At 35.6% G+C, this 26,061-nt stretch overlaps 1 long non-coding RNA gene across 2 annotated transcripts in view, besides 1 other annotated feature; it reads left to right on the top strand.

Annotated features, from left to right (window-relative positions):
* The window catches only part of LOC105370214 (uncharacterized), a 477,307-nt gene that overhangs the window by 324,078 nt on the left and 127,168 nt on the right, over positions 1-26,061 (top strand). The gene's annotated exons all lie outside the window — the stretch shown is intronic.
* Positions 14,772-15,273: an enhancer, noted in NCBI's record as "NANOG hESC enhancer chr13:56970406-56970907 (GRCh37/hg19 assembly coordinates)". NCBI's record gives its function as "activates a minimal SCP1, AML or CMV promoter by ChIP-STARR-seq in naive H9 embryonic stem cells {active_cell/tissue: H9 hESC(naive)}" and the evidence as "EXISTENCE:reporter gene assay evidence [ECO:0000049][PMID:30033119]".

The raw sequence follows: 26,061 nt of genomic DNA, 5'->3' as shown, positions 1-26,061 counted from the left end.
ATCCAGATACATCCATGTTATTGCAAATGATAAGATCTAATATTTTTCAATGGCTGAGTAGTACTCCATTGTACATAGGTACTACATTTTCTTTACCCATTCGTCTATTAATAGAATCTTAGATTGCTGCCAAATCTTGATGATTGTATTAGAATGGTGCTGTATTAAACATGTGAGTGCAGACATCTCTTTGATACACAGATTTCCTTTCTTTTGGGTGTATCCCTAGCAGTAGGATTGATGGTCCTATGGGAGCATGGGAGCTCTATTTTTAATTGGTTGAGAAACCACTAAACTGTTTTCCAAAGCAGTTTTACTAATTTACATTCCTGCTAACAGTGCACCAGGGTTCCCTTTTCTCCACATATTGACTAGGATTCCGTATTGCTTGGCTTTGGCATAAAAGACATTCTAACACGGGTGACATTATATCTCATTGTAGTTCTGATTTGCATTTCCCTGATGACCAATAATCTTGAGCACCTTTTCAATATACTTGTTTGCCATTTGTAAGCATTATTTTGAGAAATATCTATTCATATCATTTGCTCATTTTTAATTGGATTATTAGGCTTTTTTTTCCTATGAAGTTGTTTGAGCTCCTTATATATTCTGGTTATTAATACCTTGTCAGATGGTTGGTTTGCAAATATTTTCTTCCATTCTGCGGGTTGTCCCTTCACTTTGTTGACTGTTTGCTGTGGAGAAGCTTTTAAACTTGATATGATCTTATTTGTCCATTTTTGCTTTGGTTGCCCATGCTTGTGGGGTATTATTCAATAAATCTTTGCCCAGTCCAATGTCTTGGAGAGTTTTCCCAATGTTTTCTTTTAGAAGTTTCATAGCATGAGATCTTAGATTTAAGTCTTTAATCCATTTTGATTTGATATTTTTATATGGTGAAAGATAGGCATCTAGTTTCTCTCTTCTGCATATGGATAACTAGTTTTTCAAGTACCACATATTGAGGAGAAATTTCATTTGCCAGTGTATGTTCTTGGCATCATTGTCAAAAATGAGTTCACTATGGATGTGTGGTTTGTTTCTGGATTTTTTATTCTATTTCATTCGTCCATGTGTCTGCCTTTATACCAGTACCAGGCTGTTTTGGTTACTATAGCTTTGTAGTATAATTTGAAGTCAGGCAATGTGATTATTTTTCCAGTTTTATTCTTTTTGCTTAGGATAGCTTTGGATATTCTGGCTCTTTTGTAGTTCCATATTAACTTTAGAATTTTTTTTCTATTTCTGAGAAGAACACTATTGGTATATATGATAGAGAATCTATATAAACCTTAGGATTGCTTTTTCTATTTCTGTGAAGAATGCCATTGGTATTTTGATGAAGACTGCATTGAATCTGTTCATATGGAAGCACTATTTTTAGTTGTTTGAGAAAACTCCAAACTGTTCTCCCCAGCAGTTTTACTAATTTACGTATCAAAATACTCATTACATTGAATCTGTACATTTCCTTAGGAAGCATGGACATTTCAACAATATTGATTCTCTAATCTATGAACATGGAATACCTTTCCATTTTTTGGTGTCCTCTTCAATATCTTTCATCAGTGTTTTAAAGATTTGTTACAGAGATCTTTCACTTCTTTGGTTAATTCCTATCTATTTAATTTTATTTGTAGCTATTGCAAATGGAATTTTTTCCTAATATCTTTTTCAGACTGTACACTTTTGGCACATAGAAATGCTATTGGTTTATTATTGTATGTTCATTTTGTATCCTGCAACTTTACTGAATTTATCAGTTCTAACAGTTTTATATAATTTTTTATGTAAGACTTTTGTAGGTACAGAGTAGGTTTATATATTTATGGAGTACATGAGATGTTTTTATAAGGGCATGTAGTATGTACTAATCACATCATGGAAAATGGGATTTTCCTTAAGTATGTGTCCTTTATGTTACAAATGATCCAATAATACTCTTTTATTTATTTTAAAATATACAATTAAATTATTATTGATTGTAGTTACCCTGTTGTGCTATCAAATACTAAGCCTTATTCATTCTTTCTAACAATATTTTTTTGTATTTGTTAACCATCCCTACCTTGCCCCCAAGGCCCACAACCCTTCCCAGACTCTGGTAACCATCCTTCTACTCTCTATTTCCATGGTTTCAATTGTTTTGATATTTTGATCTCACAAATAAATGAGAAAATGTGATGTTTGTCTTACTGTGCCTGGCTTATTTCACTTAAAATAATCACCCTCAGTTCCATCCATGTTGCAATTACTGAATCTCATTTTTTAATAGTTGAATAGTACTCTACCATGTATAAGTACATTTTCTTTATCCATTCATATATTGACAGACACTTAGGTTGCTTCTAAATCTTAGCTATTGGAAACAGTGCCACCACAAACATAGGAGGTGCAGATATCTCTTCAATATACTGAATTTCTTTCTTTTGGGTATATACTCAGCAGTGGGATTGCTGAATCATATGGTAGCTCAGTTTTTGGTTTTCTGATGAATTTCCAAACTGTTCTTTATAGTGGTTGCACTAATTTACATTCCCACAAACAGTGTACAAGGGTTCTCTTTTCTCCACATACTGCCAGCATTTATTATTATTGCCTGTCTTTTGCATATAAGTCATGTTAACTGGGGTGAGATGATATATCATTATAGTTTTGATTTACATTTCTCTGATGATCAATAATCTTGAGCACCTTTTCATGTTTCTCTTTGTGAACTGTGTCTTTTTTTGAGAAATGTCTATTCTTTTTCCTATTTTTAAATTGGATAATTAGACTATTTCCTACAGAGTAATTTGAGTTCCTTATATATTCTGGTTATGAATTCCCTGACAGAAATATTTTCTTCCATTCTCTGGGTTGTCTCTTCATTTTTTGTTGATTATTTTATTTGCTGTGTAGAAGCTTTTTAACTTGATGTGATCCCATTTGTCCGTTTTTGCTTTGTTTGCCTCTGCTAATGAGGTATTACTCAATGTCCTGCAGAGTTTTTCCAATGTTTCCTTTTAGTTGTTTTATAATATGAGAGATCTTAGATTTAAGTATTTAATATATTTGTTTTGAATGTATTTGGTGAGAGATAGGCATCTAGTTTCATTCTTCTGTGTAGGGATATTCAGTTTTCTCCACACTATTTATTGAAGAGACTGTCTTTTATGTTCTTGGCAACTTTGCTAAAAATGAGTTCACTGTAGATGTGTGGATTGGTTTCCAGGTTCTGTATTCTGTTTCATTGGTCTAAGTGCCTGTTTTTATGCCACTTCCATAACATTTTGGTTACTATAGCTCCATGTTATAACTTGAAGTGAAGTAATATGATTCCTTCAGTTTTGTTGTCTTTGCTTAGGATAGCTTTGTGTATTCTTTTGTGCTTACAAATACATTTTTGGATTGTTTTTCTACTTCTGTGAAGAATGTCATTGGTATTTTGATAGGGATTGAATTTAATTTGTAGATTGCTCTGTGTAGTATGGACATTTTAAAAATGCTTCTTCCAATTCAGAAGCATAGAATATTTGTCAATTTTTTTGTGACATGAATTTCATTCATCAGTGTTTTATAGTTTTCATTATAGAGATTTTTTCACTTATTTTGCTAAGTTATTTCTAGGTATTTAATTTTATTTGTGGCTATCGGAAATGGGATTACTTATTTAAATTTTATTTTCAGATTGTTCACTGTTGGCACATAGAAATGTTACTGATTTTTGAATGTCAAGTTTCCATCCTGCAACTTTATTGAATATATTAGTTCTAATATTTTTTGGTGGACTTTAGGTTTTTTGAAATATGAGATTATATAATCTGCAAACAAGAATAATTTGACTTCTTTTCTAATTTAGCTGACCTTTATCTTTTTTTTTCTCTGATTACTCTAGCTAAGACTTCAAGTAACATGTGAAACAACAGTGGTGAAAGAGGGCATTTTTGTTGTGTTGTAGATCTTAGAGGAAAGGTTTTTTAGTTTTTCTCCATCCAGTACGATACCAGCTATGAGCCTGTAATGTATGGCTTTTCTTATGTTAAGTTATGTTCCTTCTACTCAGTTTTTTAAGCGTTTTTACCATGAAGAGATGTTGAATTTTATCAAATGCTATTGTAGCATCAATTGAAATGATTATATGGTTCTTGTCCTTCATTCTGTTGCTATGAGGTATTGCATTAATTAATTTGCCAAGTTAAATCATCCTTGCATCCCAGGGATAAATCTCACTTGCTCATGATGAATGATATTTTTAATGTTATTGTTGAATTTGGTTTACTAATATTTTGTTGAAGATTTTTACATCAATATTTGTCAGGGATATTGACTTGTAGTTTTCTTTTTTGTTGTTGTTGTGTCTTTGTCTAATTTGGTAACTGGCCTCATAGAATGAGTTTGGAGATATTCTCTCCTGTATTTTTTAGAATGATTTTGAGTAAGATTGGTATTCATTCTTTTTTAATGTTTGGTAGAATTCAGCAATGAAGTCATCAGTTGCTAGCTTTTCTTTACTGAGAGATATTTTATTATGGCTTTAATCTCATTACTTATTATTGGTCTGTTCAGGTTTTGGATTTCTTCATGGTTCAATCTTAGTAGGTTTTATGTGTCTAGGAATTTGCCCATTTCTTTTAGATTTTCCAATTTATTGGCATATAATTGCTCATGGTAGCCACTGATGATCCTTTGAATATCTGTGGTATCAGTTGTAATGTCTCCTTTTTCAACAATTATTTTATTCATTTGAATCTCCTTTCTTTTTTTTCTTATTTAGTCTGTCTAAAGGTTTGTCTATTTTGTTTAACTTTTCAAAAAATTGACTTTTTGTTTCATTGATGTTTTGGATTTTCTTCATTTCAATTTTATTTATTTCTGCTCTGATCTTTATTGCTTTTTTCTTCTACTAATATTGGGCTCGGTTTTCTCTTGATTTTCTAGTTCTTTGTGGTGCATTGTTAAATTGTTTATTTAAAGTTTTTCTTCTTTTTTGATATAGGCACTTAGAGCTGTAAAATCCCTTGTTATTACTGCTTTTGACATATCCCATAGGTTTGGGTATGTTTTGTTTCCATTACCATTTGTTTTAAGAAATTTTTCAACTTCCTTCTTAATTTCTTCATTGATCCATTGGTCTTTCGGGAGCATATTGCATAATGGCCATGTGTTTGTTTGGTTTCCAAAATTCCTCTTGTCATTGAGTTCCAGTTTTATTCCATTGTGGTCAGAGAAGATGCTTGATATTATTTAAATTATTTTGAATGTTTTGAGACTTGATTTGTGACCTAATATATGATCTACTTTTGAGAATGATTCATGTTCTAACAGAAAGAATGTATATTCTTGAGCCATTAAAGAAAATGTTCTGTAAATATCTCTTAGAGCCATTTGGTCTATAGTGCAAACTGAGTCTGATGTTTCCTTGTTGAATTTTTGTCTGGAAGATCTGTCTAATAGTGAACTTGGAGTGTTGAAGTTTACAGCTTTAATTGTATTACAGTATTTCTCTTTAGCTTTATTATTATTTACTTTATATATTTGGATGCTCCAGTGATGGGTGCATATATATTTAAAATTGTATATCCTCTTGCTGAATTGACCTCTTTATCATTATATAGTGGCCTTTGTTGTCTCTTCTTATAGTTTTTGTCTTGAAATCTATTTTTTTCTGATATTCCAATAGTGAGTACTGCTCTCTTTTGGCTTTCGTTGGCATGGAATCTCTATTTCTTGATTTTCAGTCTACTTGTGTCCTTTTGGGTAAAGTGTGTTTCTAGTAGGCAACAGATCAATGGGTTTGCTTTTTCATCAATGCAGCTACTCTATGTCTATTGATTGGAGAATTTGGTCTCTTTACATTCAGTGTTGTTACTGATAAGTAGAAACTTATTCCTGCCAATTTCTTATTTGTTTTCTTGTGGTTCTGTGATCTTGTCTCCCTTCTATCTTTCTCTTCTGCCTTCCTTTAGTGAAGGTGATTTTCTCTGTTGATATGATGTAGTTTCTTCCTTTTGAGTGTGAGTGTGTCAGTCTGTTTTTTTGGTTAGAGATTCCCATTAAGTTTGCAAATACTATATTCTAACCCATTATTTTAAGCTGATTGTATCTTAACACTGTTTGCATAAACAAACAAACAAAAAGAAAGAAAACTAATAAAGACTCTATGCCTTTATCTCATCCTTATGCTTTTTAGTTTTGTTTTTTACTATTTATATCTTCTTATACTGTCTATATCTTGTAAAGTTGCTGTAGATATTATTTTGAATTGGTTCATTGTTTAGTCTTTCTACTTCAGATAAGAGCAGTTTACGTACCACAATTACAATGTTATAATATTCTGTGTATTTCTCTGTACTTATGGTTACCAGTTAATTTTGTACCTTCGGATGATTTCTTGTTGCTCATTAAAGTCCTTTTCTTTCTGGTTGTAGTACTCCCTGTAACATTTCTTATAGGACAGATCTGGTGTTGCTGAAATTCTTAGCTTTTTTTTTTTTCTTTTTTGTAGAAGTTTTTATTTCTCCTTCATGTTTGAAGGAGAATTACATATATGTAATTCTGGGATAAAAGTTTTTCTTCATTCAGCACTTTAAATATGTCATGCCACTCTCTCCTGGCTGTAAGGTTTCCACTATAAAGTTTGCTGCCAAACATATTGAAGATCCATTGCATGTTGTTTCTTTCCTTTTTTTATCCTTCACCTCAGGGAATTTGATTTTTAAATGCCTTAATGTGGTCTTCTTTGGGTTAAATCTTCTTGGTGTCCTATAATGTTCTTGTACTTGGATATTGATACCTTTCTTTAGGCTTTGGAAGTCCTGTGTTATTATTTTTTTGAGTAGACTTTCTATGCCATCTCTTTCTCTACCTCCTCTTTAAGTCCAATAATTCTGAGATTTACTCTTTTGAGGCTATTTTCTAGATCCTGTACATGTGCTTCTTTTTTATTATTATTATTTTGTCTCCTCTGACAGTGTATTTTTAAATAACCTGTCTTCAAGCTCACTAATTCTTTTTTCTACTTGATCAATTCTGCTATTAAAAGACTGATATAGTCCTCACAATGGCAATTGCATTTTTCAACTCCAGAATTTCTGCTTGACTCTTTTTAATTATTTTAATCTCATTGTTAAATATAACTGATAGAATTCTGAATTTCTTCTCTGTCTTATATTTATCTGAGGATTTTTTTTTTTTTTTATGGAATCTCACTCTGTTGCCAGGCTGGAGTGCTGTGGCACGATCTCGGCTCACTGCAACCTCTGACTCCCTGGTTCAAGCAATTCTCCTGCCTCAGCCTCCCGAGTAGCTGGGATTACAGGCATGCGCCATAACGCCCAGCTAATTTTTGTATTTTTAGTAGAGACGGAGTTTCACCATGTTGGCCAGGATGGTCTTGATCTCCTGACCTCATGATCCCCCCGCCTCGGCCTCCCAAAGTGCTGGGATTAGAGGCGTGAACCACCGTGCCTGGCCTATTTGAGTTTTTTAAAAACAGCTATTTTGAATTCTCTTTCTGAAAGCTCATATATCTCTGTTTCTCCAAAATTGGTCCCTGGTGACTTATTTAGTTTATCTGGTGAGGTCATGGTTTCCTCAATCATCTTGATACTTGTAGATGTTCTTTGGTATCTGGGCACTGAATAATTGGGTATTTATTATAGTCTGTGTAGTCTGGGCTTGATTTTACCCATTCTTTAGGGGAAGGGTTTCCAGATATTCAAAAGGACCTAGGTGTTGTGATCTGAGCTGCATCTGTTTATTAGAGGACCCCAAGCCCAGGAATACTGTGGTTCCTTCAGACTCACAGCACACTGCCTTCATAGTCTTGGAACATACCTGAAATAATTCTCTGGATTACCAGGTAGAGACTCTTGTTATCTTCCTTTACTTTGTTCCAAACAGATTTTCCCTTTCTCTGTTTTAAGCCACCTGGAGGTGGGAGTGGGGTGACACAAGCACCACTGAAGCCACCACCCCTAAGACTGTTCTGGGTTAGACATGAAGCCAGCACAGCACTAAGTCTCACTCAAAACCTGCTATAACCACTCCCTGGCTACTACCTATGTTTGCTCAAAGCCTTAGGGCTCTACAATCAGCAGGTGGCAAAGCCAGCCAGACCTATGTCCTTCCCTTCAGGGTGGTAATTTCCACCAAGCCCCAGGTGGATCCAGGAGTGCCATCCTGGAGCCAAGGACTAGAGTCAAAAACCTCAGAAGTCTACCTGGTGTTCTATTGTACTGTGGCTGAACTGGCACTCAAACCAGAAGACACAGTTCTTCCTACTCTTCCCTCTCTTTCCAGAGGTAGAGGAACCTCACCCCATGGCCACAACCATCTCAGGCTCATGGGGAGTACTGTAAGACCACTGCTGATGTTTCCTTACAGCCCAAGGGCTCCTCAGTCAGCATGTGGTGAATGCTCCCTGGCCTGTGACTCACTTTTCAGTGGAGTGGGCTCCGTTCTGGCCCAGGGCAAATCCAGAAATGCCATCCAAGAGCCAAGTCCTGGAATCAAAGACTTCAAGAACCTGTTTTCTGCTCTACACCCCTGTGGCTGAGCTGACCCCTAAGGTGCAAGACAAAGCCCCCTTTACTTTTTCCTCCACTTTTCTCAATCAGTGGGAATGTTGCCCTGTAGCCACCATACCTGGTAATGTGCTGAGTCTCACCTGAAGCCAGCAAGTCTTAGAGTCTCACTAAGGCCCTTGACATAGCACCTAGGTATTGCTGTTGGTAATTCAGGGCTCAAGGGCTATTTAGTTAGTGGGTAATAAATCCTGTCGGGACTGAGTCCTTGCCTTCAAGGCAGTGTGTTCCCTTCTGTCCAGGGTGTGCCTAGAAATGTTATCTAGGAGCTACGGCTTAGAAAGGGGGCCTCATGACTCTTACTGGTGCCCTATTATGCTGTGGCCTACACTGCCTTTTTAAGTTTATTTAGAGCCCCAGAGCACTTTAGCCCAAAATGGCAAGGCCTATGGAAACTCAAGTTCCAACCACTGAGATCAATGATTCACCTCTGGTTAGGGCTAGTTTAAATGCTCCCCTCATGGGCTGGCATCAACTGAATTTGGTCTGGTTTTTTCTTTCTGCTGTAACAAGGGGAACATTCAGTTCAATGCCAGACAATTACTGGCTCTCCCTCTCCTCCTCCCCGGGGCAGAGAAATGCTCTCCCCAACAAGATGCTGCTGGAGAGGTGGAGGAGTAGTGACATAAGTGATTCAAGACAGTATTTCCTACCTCTTCATTGCCTCTTTCAGGTGTATGAAGTTAAAACCAGGTACTACAGTGCTTACCCGATTTCTGTTCTTGTGTGTTTGTGTGTGTGTGTGTGTGTGTGTAGACAGCTGTTAAATTGGTGTTCCTGTGTGAGGGATGATATTGGAGACTTCTATTCCACCATCTTTCTCCATTTTTTTAATACTCTAAGTTTTTGCAAATATAAGATTATATCACCTTCAAACTGGGAAAATTTGACTTCTTTTTTTCCCAGTTTGGATGACACAAGCACCCTGGTGGCCACCAGTACTGGGAATTCACTGGCTCAGGCCTGAAGCCAGCATAGTATTATCTCTTAACCAAGGCTCCTGATAACCACCACCTAGCTATCACCCATGTTTCCTTAAAGCTCTAGCACTCTACAATCAGCCAGTGGCAAAGCCAGCAAGGCTTGTGTGCTTCTCTTCAGCATGGCACATTCCCCCCAGGCCCTGGCAGGATCTATAGATACCATCTGGGAGCCAGGGCCTAGAGTTGGAAACCTTAGGAATCTCCCTTGTGCGCTAATCTACTGTGGCTGAGATGGCACACACCCCTCAAGAAAAAGTTTTTTCTCAGTCTTCTCTCCTCTTTCCACAAACAGAAGAGTCTCTTCCCTATGCTTACCACTGCTCTAGTTCCATGAGTACTGTCTGCCTGCCGCCAATGTTCACTCAAGGACAAAGCCTCTTCAGACAGTTGTGGTGAATTCTGCCAGGCCTAATAGTCTCTGTTCAAGGCAGTGGGCTTTTCTCTGGACCAAGGAAGGTCCAGAGATGCCATCCAGCCATCCAAGAGCCACAGTCTGGAATTAGGGACTCCAAGAGTCCACTTGGTGCTCTACTCCACTTGGCTGAGCTGGTACCTAAACTGCAAGAAAAAAAAAAAAAAAAAAAACCTTTACTCTTCCCTAACTTTTTCTCAAGCAGAAAGAGTCTTCTCATTATAGCTGGGAACGTGCTGGGTCACACCTAAAGCCAGCATATCTCTGAGTCTCACCCAAGGCCCACTGCAAGTAACGCCTGGCTACCACTGCTGATTATTCAGGGTGCAAGGGCTGTTTAGTCGGCAGATAATGAATTCTGCCAGGACTGGCTTCTTCCCTTCAAGGCAACAGATTCCCATCTGGCACAGGGTGTGTCCAGAAATGTCATCTAGGAGCAACGGCAGGAAATGGTACTCTCAGGACTCTGCCAGTGCCCTATCCTACTGTGGCTGAGCTGGTATCCAAATGTCAAGACAAGGTCCTCTTTATTCTTCTCTCACCTCTCCTAACGCTGAAGGAGTCAGCTCTCTCAGTGCTGCAAGCAGTGCTGCCTGGAGTTGCGGAGGGTTGGCACATGCACTCTCCTAGCTGTCCCAGCTGGTGTCTCACTACATCTCATGTTCTCCAAGTCCACTGGCCCTGAGCCCAGCACAGCACCAGAACCTGCCCAGGACCTGCATTCCTGTAGCCTCTACTGCCCTTCAAATTCACTTAGGAACCCAGAGCCCTTCAGCCCACTGTAGTGATGCTTGCCACAACTCAGATTCCTACTGATGGGATGAGTGAACCCCCTCTGGCTAGGGCTGATCTAAAAGCTCCCTCCGTGGGTGTTGACTGAGTTCTGCTCAGTGTTGCTTTCCACTGTGACAGGGCAGGACTGAGTATTAATGCAGAGTCCCACAATCATTGTGATCTCCTTCCTACAAGTGGAAAAATTCTTTTTTCAGGCCTCACAACTGTTTCTAGAGGATGGGGGAGGAGTGGCATTAGAAATTTAAGACTGTCTTTCCTGCTATCTTTAGTGCCTCTTTCAGTGATGTGAATTTAAGACTCTGTGATTACTCATCTGATTTTTGGTTCTTATAAGGGTACTTTTTTGGGTGATCAGTTGTTTAATTTGGTGTTCCTGTGCAGAGGACGAGTGGTAAAGGCTTTATTTATCCATCTTGCTCTGCTGCTTCCCCTAGTTTCTTACTCTTAAATATAGATAGGGACAGTTTTAATTTGATCTTTCTTTACAAGGGAAATATAACAAAGCATTACAGAAATATAACAAAGTATTGCAAGTATTAATTTTTATACTCATAGGCCATTTGTAGTACAAATAATGCTAAGATGATCCGGAAAATAATCAGAAAGTTATGAATTTTGTTTAACAATGTATATGTCTTATTTACATGAATTTATGTAACATATAACTTATCAATATGCAAAAATAATTAAGTAGCACAATATTTTAAGAAAAAATACTGAAAAACTTGTATAAAAATGTGTCAATTTCTTGCCATCACCATCACATTCCAGAACAAACTCACCTAAATGAATGCTTATCATTATCTCTCATTAAACCTATATGCTTAAACTGTGCTTCTGCGATACATATAGTCTTTTTGTTTTTTAAAATTTTTTGGTTTTTTTTGAACCTTGAGTATTTCTTACCTTTTCATTATATTTCTCTCTCTCTCTCTCCTCTATTTTTTTTAATATGTATCAATACCCCATAAAATAATGAATGGGGCTAAACCTTATAATGAGTTAGTATAAAAGATTTTATCTTTTGGGATCCTTACTGTTCTATCTTTTGTAGATGCTGAAGAACGATACATTTCTTTAGCTTGTTAAACTGACTGTAAGTAGTAATGTTCTAGATGGGCTTGCTGAGTTGCAATCCACTAAAACAGAAAAAAAATTAAGATTTTTTTTTCTTATCTTAATTTTCCTGTACCAAAACTGCTATAACCTATAGATTAGTTTTTGTTGAGACCCAGAAATTTATAAGTTCATTTTCAGTATCTCCAATATCAAAATCTGATCATTATTCACCTATTTATTTGATCTGGTTAAGGTCTGTTTGCATTTGAAAAATCAACAACTGAGAAATATGTTTCTTATGTATGTTTCAGATGGGAAGTGATAAGATCTGAATACAGTCTTTAAGAGTGAAAATCTGCAGCACCACATCCATCTTTCAATTAGGTGCCAAGCATCTAATATGAGGTCTCTGGGTGTGAAAAACAAAAACAAAAACAGCTTTTCTGTCCAATAGTCTGTGGTAGCTTTGGAAACATGAAGTAGGGCAGGATTTCAAAACCTTTCCTTGGCACTATTGATATTCTGGGCTGTATAATTCTTTATTTTAGGGACTATCCTGTGCAATATAAATATTTCATCATATCCCTGGCCTCTACTCACAAAATGTCAGTAATACTCTAACCCTACACTCAAGTTGTTCTAGCTGTGGCAACCAAATATGTCTCCAAATATTGCCAGATATCTCCAAGAGTAGGATTTTTAGGCAAAACAACCCAGCTGAAGTAGAATAATAAGATTGCTAGTTTTATGACCATGTTTACTGTTAATATAAGGAATTCTTTGGTTTGCACATAGCAAAATCCAGTGAATGAGAAATAAATTATTTCTGATGAATGTGAAAAATGGTAACAATTTATATAAGACAAATTGGGCAACTATACGTTTTCAGGGTTCTTTCTCTTTAAAAGTGTTTTTGTTTTTCTTATAGGTTTTGCACATACGTTTATTTTTATGTGAATTGAAATTGCTGGTAGTTGTCTGTTATCTGTAAAGAAGAAAAGCTTTTACCCCTTTCACAAAGAAGAAGTTTAATTAGCCAATTACAATGCTGTGTTTATAATTGCAATAATATGTAACTGTGAACAGAGTTGGAGGAAATTCTCGGAAATTATCTAATCATCCAAATCTGTCATTCATGCATTCTACAGAAACAAGTTATTTTAAATAGATTGATCTTTAATCATAGATAAGAAAGAAAATATAAATACTAAGGTAGCAACTACCTTCCTCCATTTTTTTTCTTTCTTCCTTCTCCTCCTGCTTACTCTTTTTCTTTTAAATATTGAACTGCTCAAAACTCTCTTTGGGAAAAGTATGGATCACAGATGTGATTTCTGTTTGTTCTTCCACCCCATCCCACTCTCCTCCCACCGGCACAATTTCAACCTTGGCAAAATAAACCTCAAAATTAACTGAGACTTGCCTCAGTTATTATTATTATTATTGTTCCTTTACATAATGCATTTTAATATGTGATTAATAAATATAAAAGAAGTGAAGCAAATGCCCTTGGTTATTGATATTGTAAGGAATAGGTAACTGGTTTACGCTAATATCACCACAATGAACAACAACCATATTACTGGAGTAGGCAACTGACTCAAGAACTTAAGGACTATTTTCCCCGAAGAGATGACTTTGTAAAAGCAGTCTTGTAGCAAAAGATCTAATGGATTTTGAATTGATTATATATTAAATTGATTATATAAAATTATTTGTAATTATTTAAGATGGTTTGTTTGTTTGTGTAATATATAATTTCCTCTTTTTTTTTTTTTGGAGCTTAGATTTTCTTCAGTCTTTAAAGACTCAGCTTCTTATATGGGCTTTGGTAGAGGTTATGAGGTAGCACCCACAGGTCTAACTTAAGGCGAGACATGTTGGTTCTTTCCTGGCTTCACAAGAATGGTTACTGACTACTGTTGAGGCTAAAGCAACTCCATCTTGGATGGTAATTCATGTTGACTTCTGATTAACTCCAGTTGCAGGAATGTCTCTAAGATTTATACTTTTTTTACTGTCCCTTGTGGAAAAGCACTTACTGTAACTCTTACCCTTAGATCAAAACAACATTTATGTTATAAACATGTACTTAACATCAATCCTGCCCTTAGGCAAATTATAGCCAAAAAAGCATATTTCATTCTTGCCTTTCCCTGAAGGGTAAACTTCAATTGTGCTATATGTTCCTTCTGAAGCATGATACCCTTTCCCTGTGATATATAAGCCCTGGGTATAGGGGGTAACAGTGCAGAGATCTACCTGTCTTGCAGCTGCTGAAGACAACGCTTCTGTCCCTAACTTCCCCAATAAATTGCCTTTTGCTGACTAACTTGATTTATCTACTTCATTCTTTGATTTCTCAAATCCTTCTGCATTTGGGGATTGGTTTGCACATACAGGCCTTTCACAAAACAACCTTGCTATAAATGGCATAACTTATACAATAATATAGTGTCATAGCTTGGGAAGCACACAGGCAACAAAGACACTGACCTTGGGGAATTGAAGGCTGTGGTCTCTACTGTATTTCAAATAACAAACATTTTTCCATGCTACCTTTTTTTTGTTGATACATACAATTTTGCATATTTATGTAAAATATGATATTTTTATTTGCATAGAATGTGTAATGATCAAGTCAGAATATTTGAGATGTCCATCACTTGGAGTATTTGTCATTTCTAGGTGTTGAGCGACTGAATGGCCACATCCTCTGGCATACAGCAGACAGGGTATGTGTAGCAAGTGGGCTTCACATGGCCACCACCCTTTTCGGTATGACCATGTTCTTTTCCTTGTCACATAAAAAGCAAGGACTCAAGAAATAATCTTATATTACTTTAAATACTTTATTTTCTGATGAGCATTTAACAAAAATATTTCTTGTCTTTCATCTGAATTTAACAGATGCAGTGTAAAAACTAGAGTAAAACCCTCTTCAGATGATACTGTGTTTAATCGTATTTCTCAAGACTTGTGAAATATGAGAAATATTAACATAGATTATAAGAAAACATTCAGTGAATATGAAAAAATGACTCAGAATATAGAAATAATTTTACTTATTTCATCTGCCAACGTTTCCAAGCAATGACCAATAACATATATAAAGATTTAAGTCAGATTAAACATATGTAAATAAGTATATTGTCATGAAAATAAGTCTGAAGTGGTCAGATCTCTTGAGCCCTAGAGGTGGAGGTTGCAGTGAGCTGGGATCACACCATTGCTCTCCAGCCTGGGTGATGGGAGTGAAACCCTGTCTCAAAAGGAAAGAAAAACCCTCATTTCCACCGTCATGCAACTGAATAACCATAATTTACATATACACATATATATATTCCAGTAATGCTAATTTAAATATACTTCTCTGATACAGTTCACTATTCAATTACAATTATTATACTTCTTTTGTGAAAAAGATGCTTACAAAATCTTCTGATGTAATTAATGTTATGCTTTTCTAGTGCTTGTGTAATCCTAGCCTTAGACCAGGTAAATGACTTTAATTCCAGCTTTGTAAAGGCCCAAGACATAAGTTAACCATCTAACCTCATACCCTGTGCTTTTAAATTTATTGACAATGCAGCAAAAATGTGCTGTGGTTTGAATGTTCCCTCCAAAACTCATGTTGAAATGTAATTATCAATGTAATGGTACTGGGAAGTGGAAGCTTTAAAAATGGTTTCATGCTGTTCTTGTGGAGTGGGTTAGTTACACTAACAGTGAGCTCCTGACAAGAAAGATGAGCTTGGCCTGATTTCTCTCGTCTTGTGAGCTCACTTATGCCTTATGCCCTCCTACTATGAGATGACCTTTCTTAGATGTCCATACCATGCTCCTAGACTTCCCAGTCTCCAGAAATGAGTAAAATAAATTTCTATTATTTGCATATTACCCCATCTCAGGTATTCTGTTGTAGCAGTAGAAAACAGAATAAGACAAAATGTTAGCTAATACAACTTTGGAAGCTATGTAAATAAATTAGTCAAATAGAATATAATATACACATATACTGTCATAAATTCACAGACTACCTACTACTGAATTAGTATTAATTGTACAAATATTGATGGTAATTTTGATTTCACATTGTGGAAGAAAAACAAAGTCTTGGGACCCTCGAACTTACTATACCAAAAGAAAAGCGTGAGAACTGAGTTATGAAAAAACAAAACAAAGCAAAACAAAAAACTGCCTTCTTTCTTTTTTCCAAACAGACAGCTACAATGATAGAAAGTCACATATCTCTCCAGGTCACTTTCCTCACAAATTGCTCATCAGAAAATTCCTTGTGGGCCGCCAAATTTTTTAGAATACAGATTCTTCTGTGAACTAACCCTAAAACAGAGTACTGTTGAATCTCATCTTGACAATATAAATTAACAGCTTATCTTCTTAGGAACAGGACAAAGACAAAACTAGAAATCATATTTCACTCCTTCCTCCATGTTTTCTTTATCTTATGTAAAATGCAGATTTACTGAGCATGAAGCAAATGCATAATTGATTATTCCTCTACCCTTTCCTTTCACATGTAAAATATGAATTCACTGAGCACTAATCAAAGCCTTACAAGAATGTAACCACTTGCCTCATTGCCTACCTTCCCCCAATTTTTTTCTTTCTTCCTTCCCCTCCTGCTTACTGTTTCTCTTTTGAATATTGAAGTGCTCAAAACTCTCTTTGGGAAAAGTATGGATCACAGATGTGATTTCTGTTTGTTCCTCCACCCCATCCCACTCCCCTCCCCCAGGCACAATCTCAACCTTGGCAAAATAAACCTCAAAATTAATTGACACTTGCCTCAGTTATTATTATTATTGTTGTTGCTTTGATTTACAAGTTGTAGGCTATCATTTGAATCTATGTCAAATTTCCATTATCTGTAAAAATGGGTAGGAAAAGGTAAGCTAGAAATCTTTCAAATGATCTTAGCACAAACACAATAAACCTACTCTATTTGTGACTAGAAATAGTGTTCAGAGATTATTTTAAACCACAGGTTTGACCATTCAGGATAGATATCAATTCTTGGGGTAAAAAGTCAGAAATGTGAATATGCGACATTTTTCTCATGCTGCCTCATTTTCTAATAAGCCCCTCAAAATGTCATCTGACTCTAAAGAAATACATCAATTTTGAGTATTTAGTTATTATGAGGCCTGTGTTTTAAACTATCTAAAGATAAAAGTTAATTTAAGACAGCTTATGAGGTCTGCTCATTTTTTCTTTCCAACATAGAAGATAACCAAGATGTTAGATTTTTGTTATCCATAACACATTAACAAGGTTTTGTGAACCAAAAAGTATCTGAGACAGGTCTCAGTCAATTTAGAAAGTTTATTTTGCTAAGGTTAAAAACATGCACCTTTCTTCTGGGCGTGGTGGCTCATGCCTGTAATCCCAGCCCTTTGAGAGACCAAGGCGGGTGGATCACGAGGTCAGGAGATTGAGACCATCCTGGACAATATGGTGAAACCCTGTCTCTACTAAAAACACAAAAATTACCTAGGTGTGGTGGTGTGTGCCTGTAATCCCAGCTACTCAGGAGGCTGAGGCACAAGAATCACTTGAACTCAGGATGCTGAGGTTGCAGTGAGCCGAGATCACACCACTGCACTCCAGTCTGGTGACAGAGCGAGACTCCGTCTCTAAACAAACAAACAAAAACAATAAAACAAACAAACAAAAATCAAAAAACCGTGCACCTTTCGAGAAGGTAGACGCAGGTCTGTACGTTTTCTAAAGATGATTTTGAGGGCTTCAATATTTATAGGGAAAATGGTGGATATTGGGGAAAGAGGAATAAATTTTTAAAAGGTGTAGGTAGGTAAGAGACAAACAGTTGCACTATTTTGAGTCTTTGATCAGCCTTTCACTGAATATGCAATTTACAAGTTAGAGAGGGGTAGAAGTGTCTGCATTTTTGCATCAGAAGAAGCAATCAGATAACAATTTGTCTCAGGTGAGCAGAAGGATGACTTAGAGCTCTGTCTTTCCTTTGTCCTGCACCTGTGAAGATATGCCATCAATTTACATTGTCAGGGTGAAATTCAGCGAACCATTTTAGAGTAAATATCTTAGGGCCCACAAGGACTTTCCTAGAGGACAAATTGTGAGGGAGGTATTCAGCTCTTCTTCTTTTCCTTTGTAGCTATTTTATTTAGGAAGAAAATGGGGTGTAGGTTTGCCTGACAGTTTCCAGATTGACTTTTTCCTTTGGCTTAGTAATTTGGGGATCCTGAGATTTATTTTCCTTCCACAATTTATATCTAAATTAGGATTGGGAGACAATAATCCATGGGTCTTCTACACTTCTGCACATTTTGAGAGGAAGGTACCCTTTGTACCAGACTATCTTTTCCAGAGATTTGTATAGTAAACAGAATTAGACAATAAAGTGTCTTCCTCAGGAGTAAAGATGAGTCATGACTACTGACTTTTATCAAAGAATTTGATATAACCAAATTCAGAAACATGCATTCCTCTTTATAAAGGTGTCATGGAACCAAGACTACCTTCAGGTTCTCCTTAGCTTGATTAAATTTTCCACAGCTTTCTTCCTGACTCTACACCCCTGGCCTCACTTATTTTTAGAAAATTTATATTAGAAAATGTGTAGTTATAAATTATTTTTTGTCTCCTTTGAGATGTAAATCTTCACCCCTCCCAACCTCCCCATCCCCCACTCTGTTGGGAACAAGCCCCCAAAAATCTGGCCATAAACTGGCCCCAAAAATGGCCATAAACAAAATCTCTGCAGCACTGTGACATGTTCATGATGGCCATAACGCCAACGCTGGAAGGTTGTGGGTTTACCGGAATGAGGGCAAGGAACACCTGGCCCACCCAGGGCGGAAAACTGCTTAAAGGCATTCTTAAGCCACAAACAATAGCATGAACGATCTGTGCCTTAAGGACGTGCTGCTGCTGCAGTTAAGTAGCCCAACCTATTCCTTTAATTTGGCCCATCCCTTCGTTTCCCATAAGGGATATTTTAGTTAATTTAATATCTATAGAAACAATGCTAATGACTGGCTTGCTGTTAATAAATACGTGGGTAAATCTCTGTTGGGGCTTTCAGCTCTGAAGGCTGTGAGACCCCTGATTTCCAACTTCACACCTCTATATTTCTGTGTGTGTGTCTTTAATTCCTCTAGCACTGCTGGGTTAGGGTCTCCCCCACGGAGCTGGTCTCGGCACCCCTCACCATCCCCCCAATGCCCGTCCGTCCCTTTCCCCCTCCCACCCCCACCCCTCCTGTTCCCCCCCGCCCCTGCCTCTTGCTAGTTTTGCCTAGGAATGTCTTTTTTTTTTTTTTTTCAAATGGAGTCTTGCTCTGCCTTCCAAGCTGGAGTGCAGTTGCATGATCTCGGCTCACTGCAACCTCCGCCTCCCGTGTTCAAGAGATTCTCCTGCCTCAGCCTCCCGAGTGGCTGGGATTACAGGCACACATCACCACACCACGCTAATTTTTGTATTTTTAGTAGAGACAGGAGTTTCACAATGTTGGTGAGGCTGGTCTTGAACTCCTGACCTCAAGTGATCCGCCTGCCTCAGCTTCCCAACGTGCTGGGATTACAAGCGTGAGCCACTGTGCCTGGCAAGGAACATCTTATAAGAAAGTGACAGCCATCCGTTTTAAATATAATCATTAGGAAATATAGTAGCCTTGTCTCTGTAGAAGGGTAGGAGCCAAACTCAGATAAGCACAAATTAACAAACACAGATGGCTTAATCACATTAAACACCTCTCTGATAATGTCTCCATTACTTTTCTACTAACTCACTATAGTGCTTTAAAACTATTCTTTCCTTTTTTCAGTGAAGTTGGGGTCAGTCTGTTTCCTTTATCGTTATAATCTTGCTACTTTTCCTAATTTCTTGCCTACGGATTGTGTGAAGTGGTTCTTTCGGCTTCACAAAGAGGAATGCACAGAAGAAACCCTTTGACTTCTAGACGGCAATTTGCTTGAAAATGACTTTTCCTACTGCTAACGCAATAGTCTTAAATAAAGTCTACCTTGTTTGTTCAATCTGTCTAGTACAACAATTTTTTTGACATATTCCAATAACCTGTAGGTATTAGAGATCATGGAACTGAACGAAAGTAAAAACAAAAACAAAAATGCTGTACTCTGATTATTTATATTGCTCTGATTAACTGTCCTCTGTCTCTGACCCAGGAATCTCGTGTGTTCTACAAGTATCCATGAAACTGTGTCAAGCCTGAAAGTAGTATAAAATTCTCACACTTTTCACAGTTCTTGAAACTAACAATCTTATTTCAGCACTATGTAAGTCTCAGTTTCTCATATTAAATTTTAATAAGCCCTGCCATTCTGCTGGTTCTCTCATTAGTGTGTTAAATGTGACATTGACATATACTGATTATCTAGCTGTATGACAATGAGAATTTTAACAATTTAAAAACTAGTGCCCTTTTTATAGTGTTAATATGCCAATGTCCACCTCTCATTTTCAACAACGCAGTTCATATTATAGGACATTATTTTAAAGTGTATAGCTATTTATATGTCATAGATATGGTGAAAATTCAGTTCCACTATTGTTTTAGCTAGCTAATTTGTAGGAGGCAAATTGGTATAAGATATTTCACCATACCTTATCTCTCTACAAGTAGTGATTTCCTACTGTTTTCATTAAGCATTAAAAAGATATAAGATTATTCTTCTTTATACTAAGTCAGCAACTTGATTTTTTAGTTGTTGAAACATTTTTGCCAAACGCATTTGTGTGTGTGTGGAGGCATGATCAGGCAATGACTGTTTACTGAGTGCGTACTATTTATTGAGCTAGGCATTGAGAATATTTTAATGAAAAAGGAAAATGTAGTTAGTATGTTAATTAAATTTAACAGTATGTAGATATTTAATTTTGTATGGAGTCAATAAATGTGTTTAAAAATGTAAATGATAAAGGATAAAATAGCTTAATTTTTTTCTTAATATAATCTGGCTCATTTTGGCAAGGAGTCCAGCTGGTGAACATTGCTATAGGGATAAATATAGTTAGGATGAAAACAAATCCTTATTTTGTTCAAACAGCATATTAAAAAAAATTATAGCAATTCTGCACAATATCTCCCAGAAAATAGAAGCGAAGAAACAATTCCTAAATCACTCTATTAGGCTAGCATTACCCTACTACCAAAACCAGATAGAAACATTACAAAAATAAATACAACCAATATTTCTTCTCTTATAGCCATGGATGCCAAAGCAATAAGCAAACACAAACACAAGAACAAAAAAACACTTAAACAAAATGTGAGATAATTCTGTCTAACAATGTACAACATTAATTATTCACCACGACTAAGGGAGATTTATTACAAATATGCAAACCTGATTTCACATGGCCAAAAAAAAAAAATCAATACAATCTAACTCATAAACTAGATAAAGAAGAAACATTTATGGTCACATTGATTCATAGAAAGCATTTAATGAAATTGAATAATTTTTTCAAAAAAATGCTCAACAAACTAGGAACATAGGAAAACTTCCTAAACTTGATACAGCACACCTACAGACATTCTATAGCTAACATAGTTAATGCTGAGGAACCAGAGATATTCCCCTAAGGTCATGAACAAGGCAAGAATATTTTCTCTTACCATTCGTATTCAAGCTCATATTGGAAATTCTAGATAGTGCAATAAGACAAGAAAAGGAAATAAGGAGTATGCATATATCAAAGGGAAAAATAATACTGTGCCTGTTTCTAAATCACGCAATTGCCTGTATAGAATACCCCAAACAATGGACAGAAAATACTTAATACTAGTAGAACTGTGTACCATGGACATTGGTTATTTTACAAAACCAAATTATCCTATATATCAGTAATGGACAATTAGAACTTGAAATTTGAAATCACAAAACCATTTATAATATTACAAGAAAATGAAAAACATAGATATTATTCTAATAAATTATGTACAAGATCTGATAAAGGATGTGTGTCCAAACAAAGAACTTTAATTAAAAAATTAGAAAGCAAACAATCCATTCAAAATGGGCCAAATATCCGAAAAGACGTCAACTAAAGAAGATGTGCAAATGACAAATAATTTACAGATCATGAAGGCTAAAATGATCTATATCTGAAAAATGACATTTTGCTTAATATAAATACAGATAGCTTTATATAGAATTACTTATACATATTTGTATATATACAAGTTAGTAGACATGCATATATGTATATATCCATATAAGATTGTCAAGAATGAACCAGTAGCAAAGAGCACACTCAGAGCCCAGATGTTGATTTCTAATACTATTCTTCAGTTAAAGGAACCATACTGAAACATTGTAACACTGTAGTGCTAGAAAGTTAATCAAACAAACAAAACACTATAGGAAAAAATAAAGCTACTGTAATGGGAGTATGTCAAAAGAATACAGTAGCCAAATAAAAGAGCTCAATGGCCAAAGATGAAACCAGTTGAGCAATAAAACAAGTAAAATAAGTAAAGTAGTATTGGGTTACATACCAAAGTATAAAGTATATATTCAAGTATTCATATCAATACAAATAAATGACTGAAAAAATAATAAGGGAAGAAGAGAAAAATCACTTATGCAAAAGAATTCTAAAGAGTACAATTTTTCCAAAAAGTACAGTATGAAAAGAGAAAATAAAATATAGAAGTCTACTGAATAACAGTACTTCAGCTAGTTGACCAAGATTTACATCCACAGTGATAAATCATATCAATAGCATGTACCCTATACTATGATGAGAATGTACTTTCCACTGTGGTCTTCCTCCCAAAAACACATCAACCAAATCTAATTACTAAATAAATAAATAATTAGACAAATTCTGCTAGGGGGACACTCTGCAAAATACTTGACCAATCTTCTTTAAAACTGGCAAGGTCAAAAAAAAAGAAGAGGAAGTCTGAAAAACTCTCACTACCATGAGGAGCCTAGGAATAAATGAAAACTAAAGTCAAAATGGTATCTTACATGGAATTTTAGAACAGAAAAAAGGACTGGAATTATTGACAAAATATAGAATATGGCCTATAATATATAAACATTAATTCCTTAATTGTAAAAAATAAACCATACTAGTATAAGACTGTAATAGCTGGAAAAACAGCATAGGATACATGACAATCTGCTGCACTATTCTTGCATTTTTTTTTCTTTCAAATATGAAACAGTTCTAAAAATAAAGTGTATTAATTGTTTAGGCATGTGTATCAGAAGGTAGCATGGCTAAAGCAGTATAAGAAAATTTTAGTGAAGAAATATGAATATAATAGAAACTTTCCTTTAAGACTAGAAAAATTTTCAACTTATGAATACAAAGAAGGAAACAGACACTAGGATCGACTTGAGTGGGTAGGGATGGAGAAAGGAGAGGAGCAGAGAAGGTAACCATTGGTTACTGGGCTTAATACCTGGGTGATGTAATAATATGTACCACAAACCCCTGTGACAGGTGTTTACCTTTATAACAAACCTTCACAGGTACCCCAAAACCTAAAATAAAAGTTAAACCAAAAAAACCCAAAAAACAAAAAACAACAGCAACAAAAAACAGGCCAAGCGCAGAGTTTCAAGCACGTAATCCTAGAACTTTGGGAAGCAGAGGCAGACTGGTGGATCACTTGAGGCCAGGAGTTTGAGACCAGCTTGGGCAACATGGTTAAACCCTGTCTCTACTAAAAATACAAAAAATTAGCCTGGAGGGTGGCAAGCACTTGTAACTCCAGCTATTTGGGAGGCTGAGGCACAAGAATCGCTGGAACCCAGGAGGCAGAGGTTGCAGTGAGCCAAAATCGCGCCCCTGCACTCCAGCCTGGGTAACAGAGTCAACTGTCTCAAACAAAACAAAACAAAACAAACAAAAAAACCCTTTATTTCTTGCTTGGGTGGGGCTAAAGGACTTGTGTATGGGTGTGGGTGGGTATGTGTGAGTGTGAAACAGAGAAAGGATTCCACAGAAAAATGGACTGGTATTTTGTTTCCAAATGAATATCTTCACAGACAACACAATATATTTTATTGTATTTAAATATCCTCAGGTAACTAGTTCACAAATCAAAGAAGAAGTTGTATTCCTTAAGTAATGTGGAAGTTATCCAACTAAGTGATGATTTATAATATAAATATAATTGATTTGCAAAGAGTTACATTTCTAAAATATATAAGTTTTGGAAATGAAATTATAAATTATGTTAAAGGGAATTGGCTAAATCTGATTACAATGGGAAATTATTTTCTTATTCTCTTTAGATTACCTTTTTATTCATAAATAAAACGATTAAAATGTGCTGATTTTCTAAAATTCCCAGTTTTACTAGCTGTATATAAATAGATATTTCATGCCTTATGTTTATTCAATTTGAAGGTGTTTAAAAATTTCTTATTGTAAATTGACAAATTATGGGGTACAAATGATGTTATGATTCATGAATATAATATGAAATAATTAAATAAAGGTAATTAATATATCCATCACCACAAACACTTGTCTTTTTTTTTGGTGGGAACATTTGAAATTTACCCTTACCAATCTTGAAATGTACAATACACTACTATTAACTATATATACCATGCTGCACAGTAGATCTCAAATAAACAAACCTTATTCCTATAGTCTAATTGAGGTGCTGTAACCTTTGACTACCATCTCATCATTTACCCCACATCCTCAGCTTCTGGTAACTGCCATTCTGTTTTCTTCATTAATAAATTCAACTTTTTTAGATTACACATATAAGCGAGAACATGTGGAATTTGCTGTTTTGTGCCTGACATATTTCACTTAACATAATGTTATCCATGCATATGCACCTTGTCACAAACGACATAATTTCCTTTCCTAAGACTGAATAGTATTCTTTTGTGTATATATGACACATTTTCTTTATCCATTCATCTGTTGATGCACACTTGACTTGATCCTATAACTTGGCTATTGTAAATAGTACTGTGATAAATATGGAAGTGCAGACATCTCATTAACATACAGATTTCAAATCTTTTGAATAAATACCCAAAGGTGGCATTGCTGGATTATATAATAATTCTATTTTTCCATTTTCTGTGGAACCTTAATACAGTTTACCATAATGGCTGTATTAATTTAAATTGCCACCAACAGTATACAAGGGCTCCCTTTTCTCTATATCCTTTTTAACACTGGGTAATTTTTGTCTTTTTGATGATAGCCATTCTGATAGGTGGGAGATGAAATCTTGTAGTTTTGATTTGCATTTCCTTAACGATTAGATATATTGAATTTTTTTTCAAATATCTGTTGGTCATTATATGTCTTTTTCTGAGAAATGTCCATTCAGATCCTTTGCCCATTTTTTTATCCAGATTTGTTTTTGTAAAGAGAGTTATTTGAGTTCCTTATGTATTTTGGACATAATCTCTTATCAGGTCTATGGCTTGCAAATATTTCCACTCAATCTGTATATTGTCTTTTCTATACTTTACTGCTTTTTAATGTTATATGTCCAAATATTTTACTCAGTTAGTTTGTATTGAATATTTAGAAATATAATTATTTCATATTTTTATTTTTTAAAGTGTTTAGATATGTTTTTCAAAAGTTTGAAAATACTTATTAGTTAGCATGAATTATGATAATTGTGTTCATTACAACCACAGTAAAAACACTGAAAAGAAAGAGATGTCCATAGGGACAAAAATTGTAAAAATAGTATATTAACCAATAAAACCAGCAATATAATAAAAGTTAACAGATTATGGACATTAAAATTAAAAATATTGCTTTCATAATGTAATTAAATTTAACAAATAATTAGAAAAATAACAAAAATATGGCTGGGTGTGGTGGCTCATGCTTGTAATCCTAGCACTTTGGGAGACTGAGGTGGGCAGATCACGAGGTCAGGAGTTCAAGACCAGCCTGGCCAATATTGTGAAACCCTGTCTCTACTAAAAATAAAAAATTAGCCGGGCGTGGTGGCATGTGCCTGTAATCTCAGATACTTGGGAGGCTGAGGCAGGATAATAGCTAGAACCTTGGAGGTGGAGGTTGCAGTGAGCCAAGATTGTGCCACTGCACTACAGCCTGGGCAACAGAGCAAGACTCCGTCTCAAAAAAAAAAAAAAAATATATATATATATATATATATATATGACCTCTTCACAGAAAACTACAAAACATCACTAATGAAGACCTAAAAAAATATTAAGACCAATATATTCATATATTG

The sequence above is a fragment of the Homo sapiens genome, chromosome 13, assembly GCF_000001405.40.
Source record: "Homo sapiens chromosome 13, GRCh38.p14 Primary Assembly".
Lineage (NCBI taxonomy): Eukaryota > Metazoa > Chordata > Mammalia > Primates > Hominidae > Homo > Homo sapiens.
The sequence above is the reverse complement of the archived record's forward strand: the minus strand, read 5'-3'. Positions and strand labels throughout refer to the sequence as shown.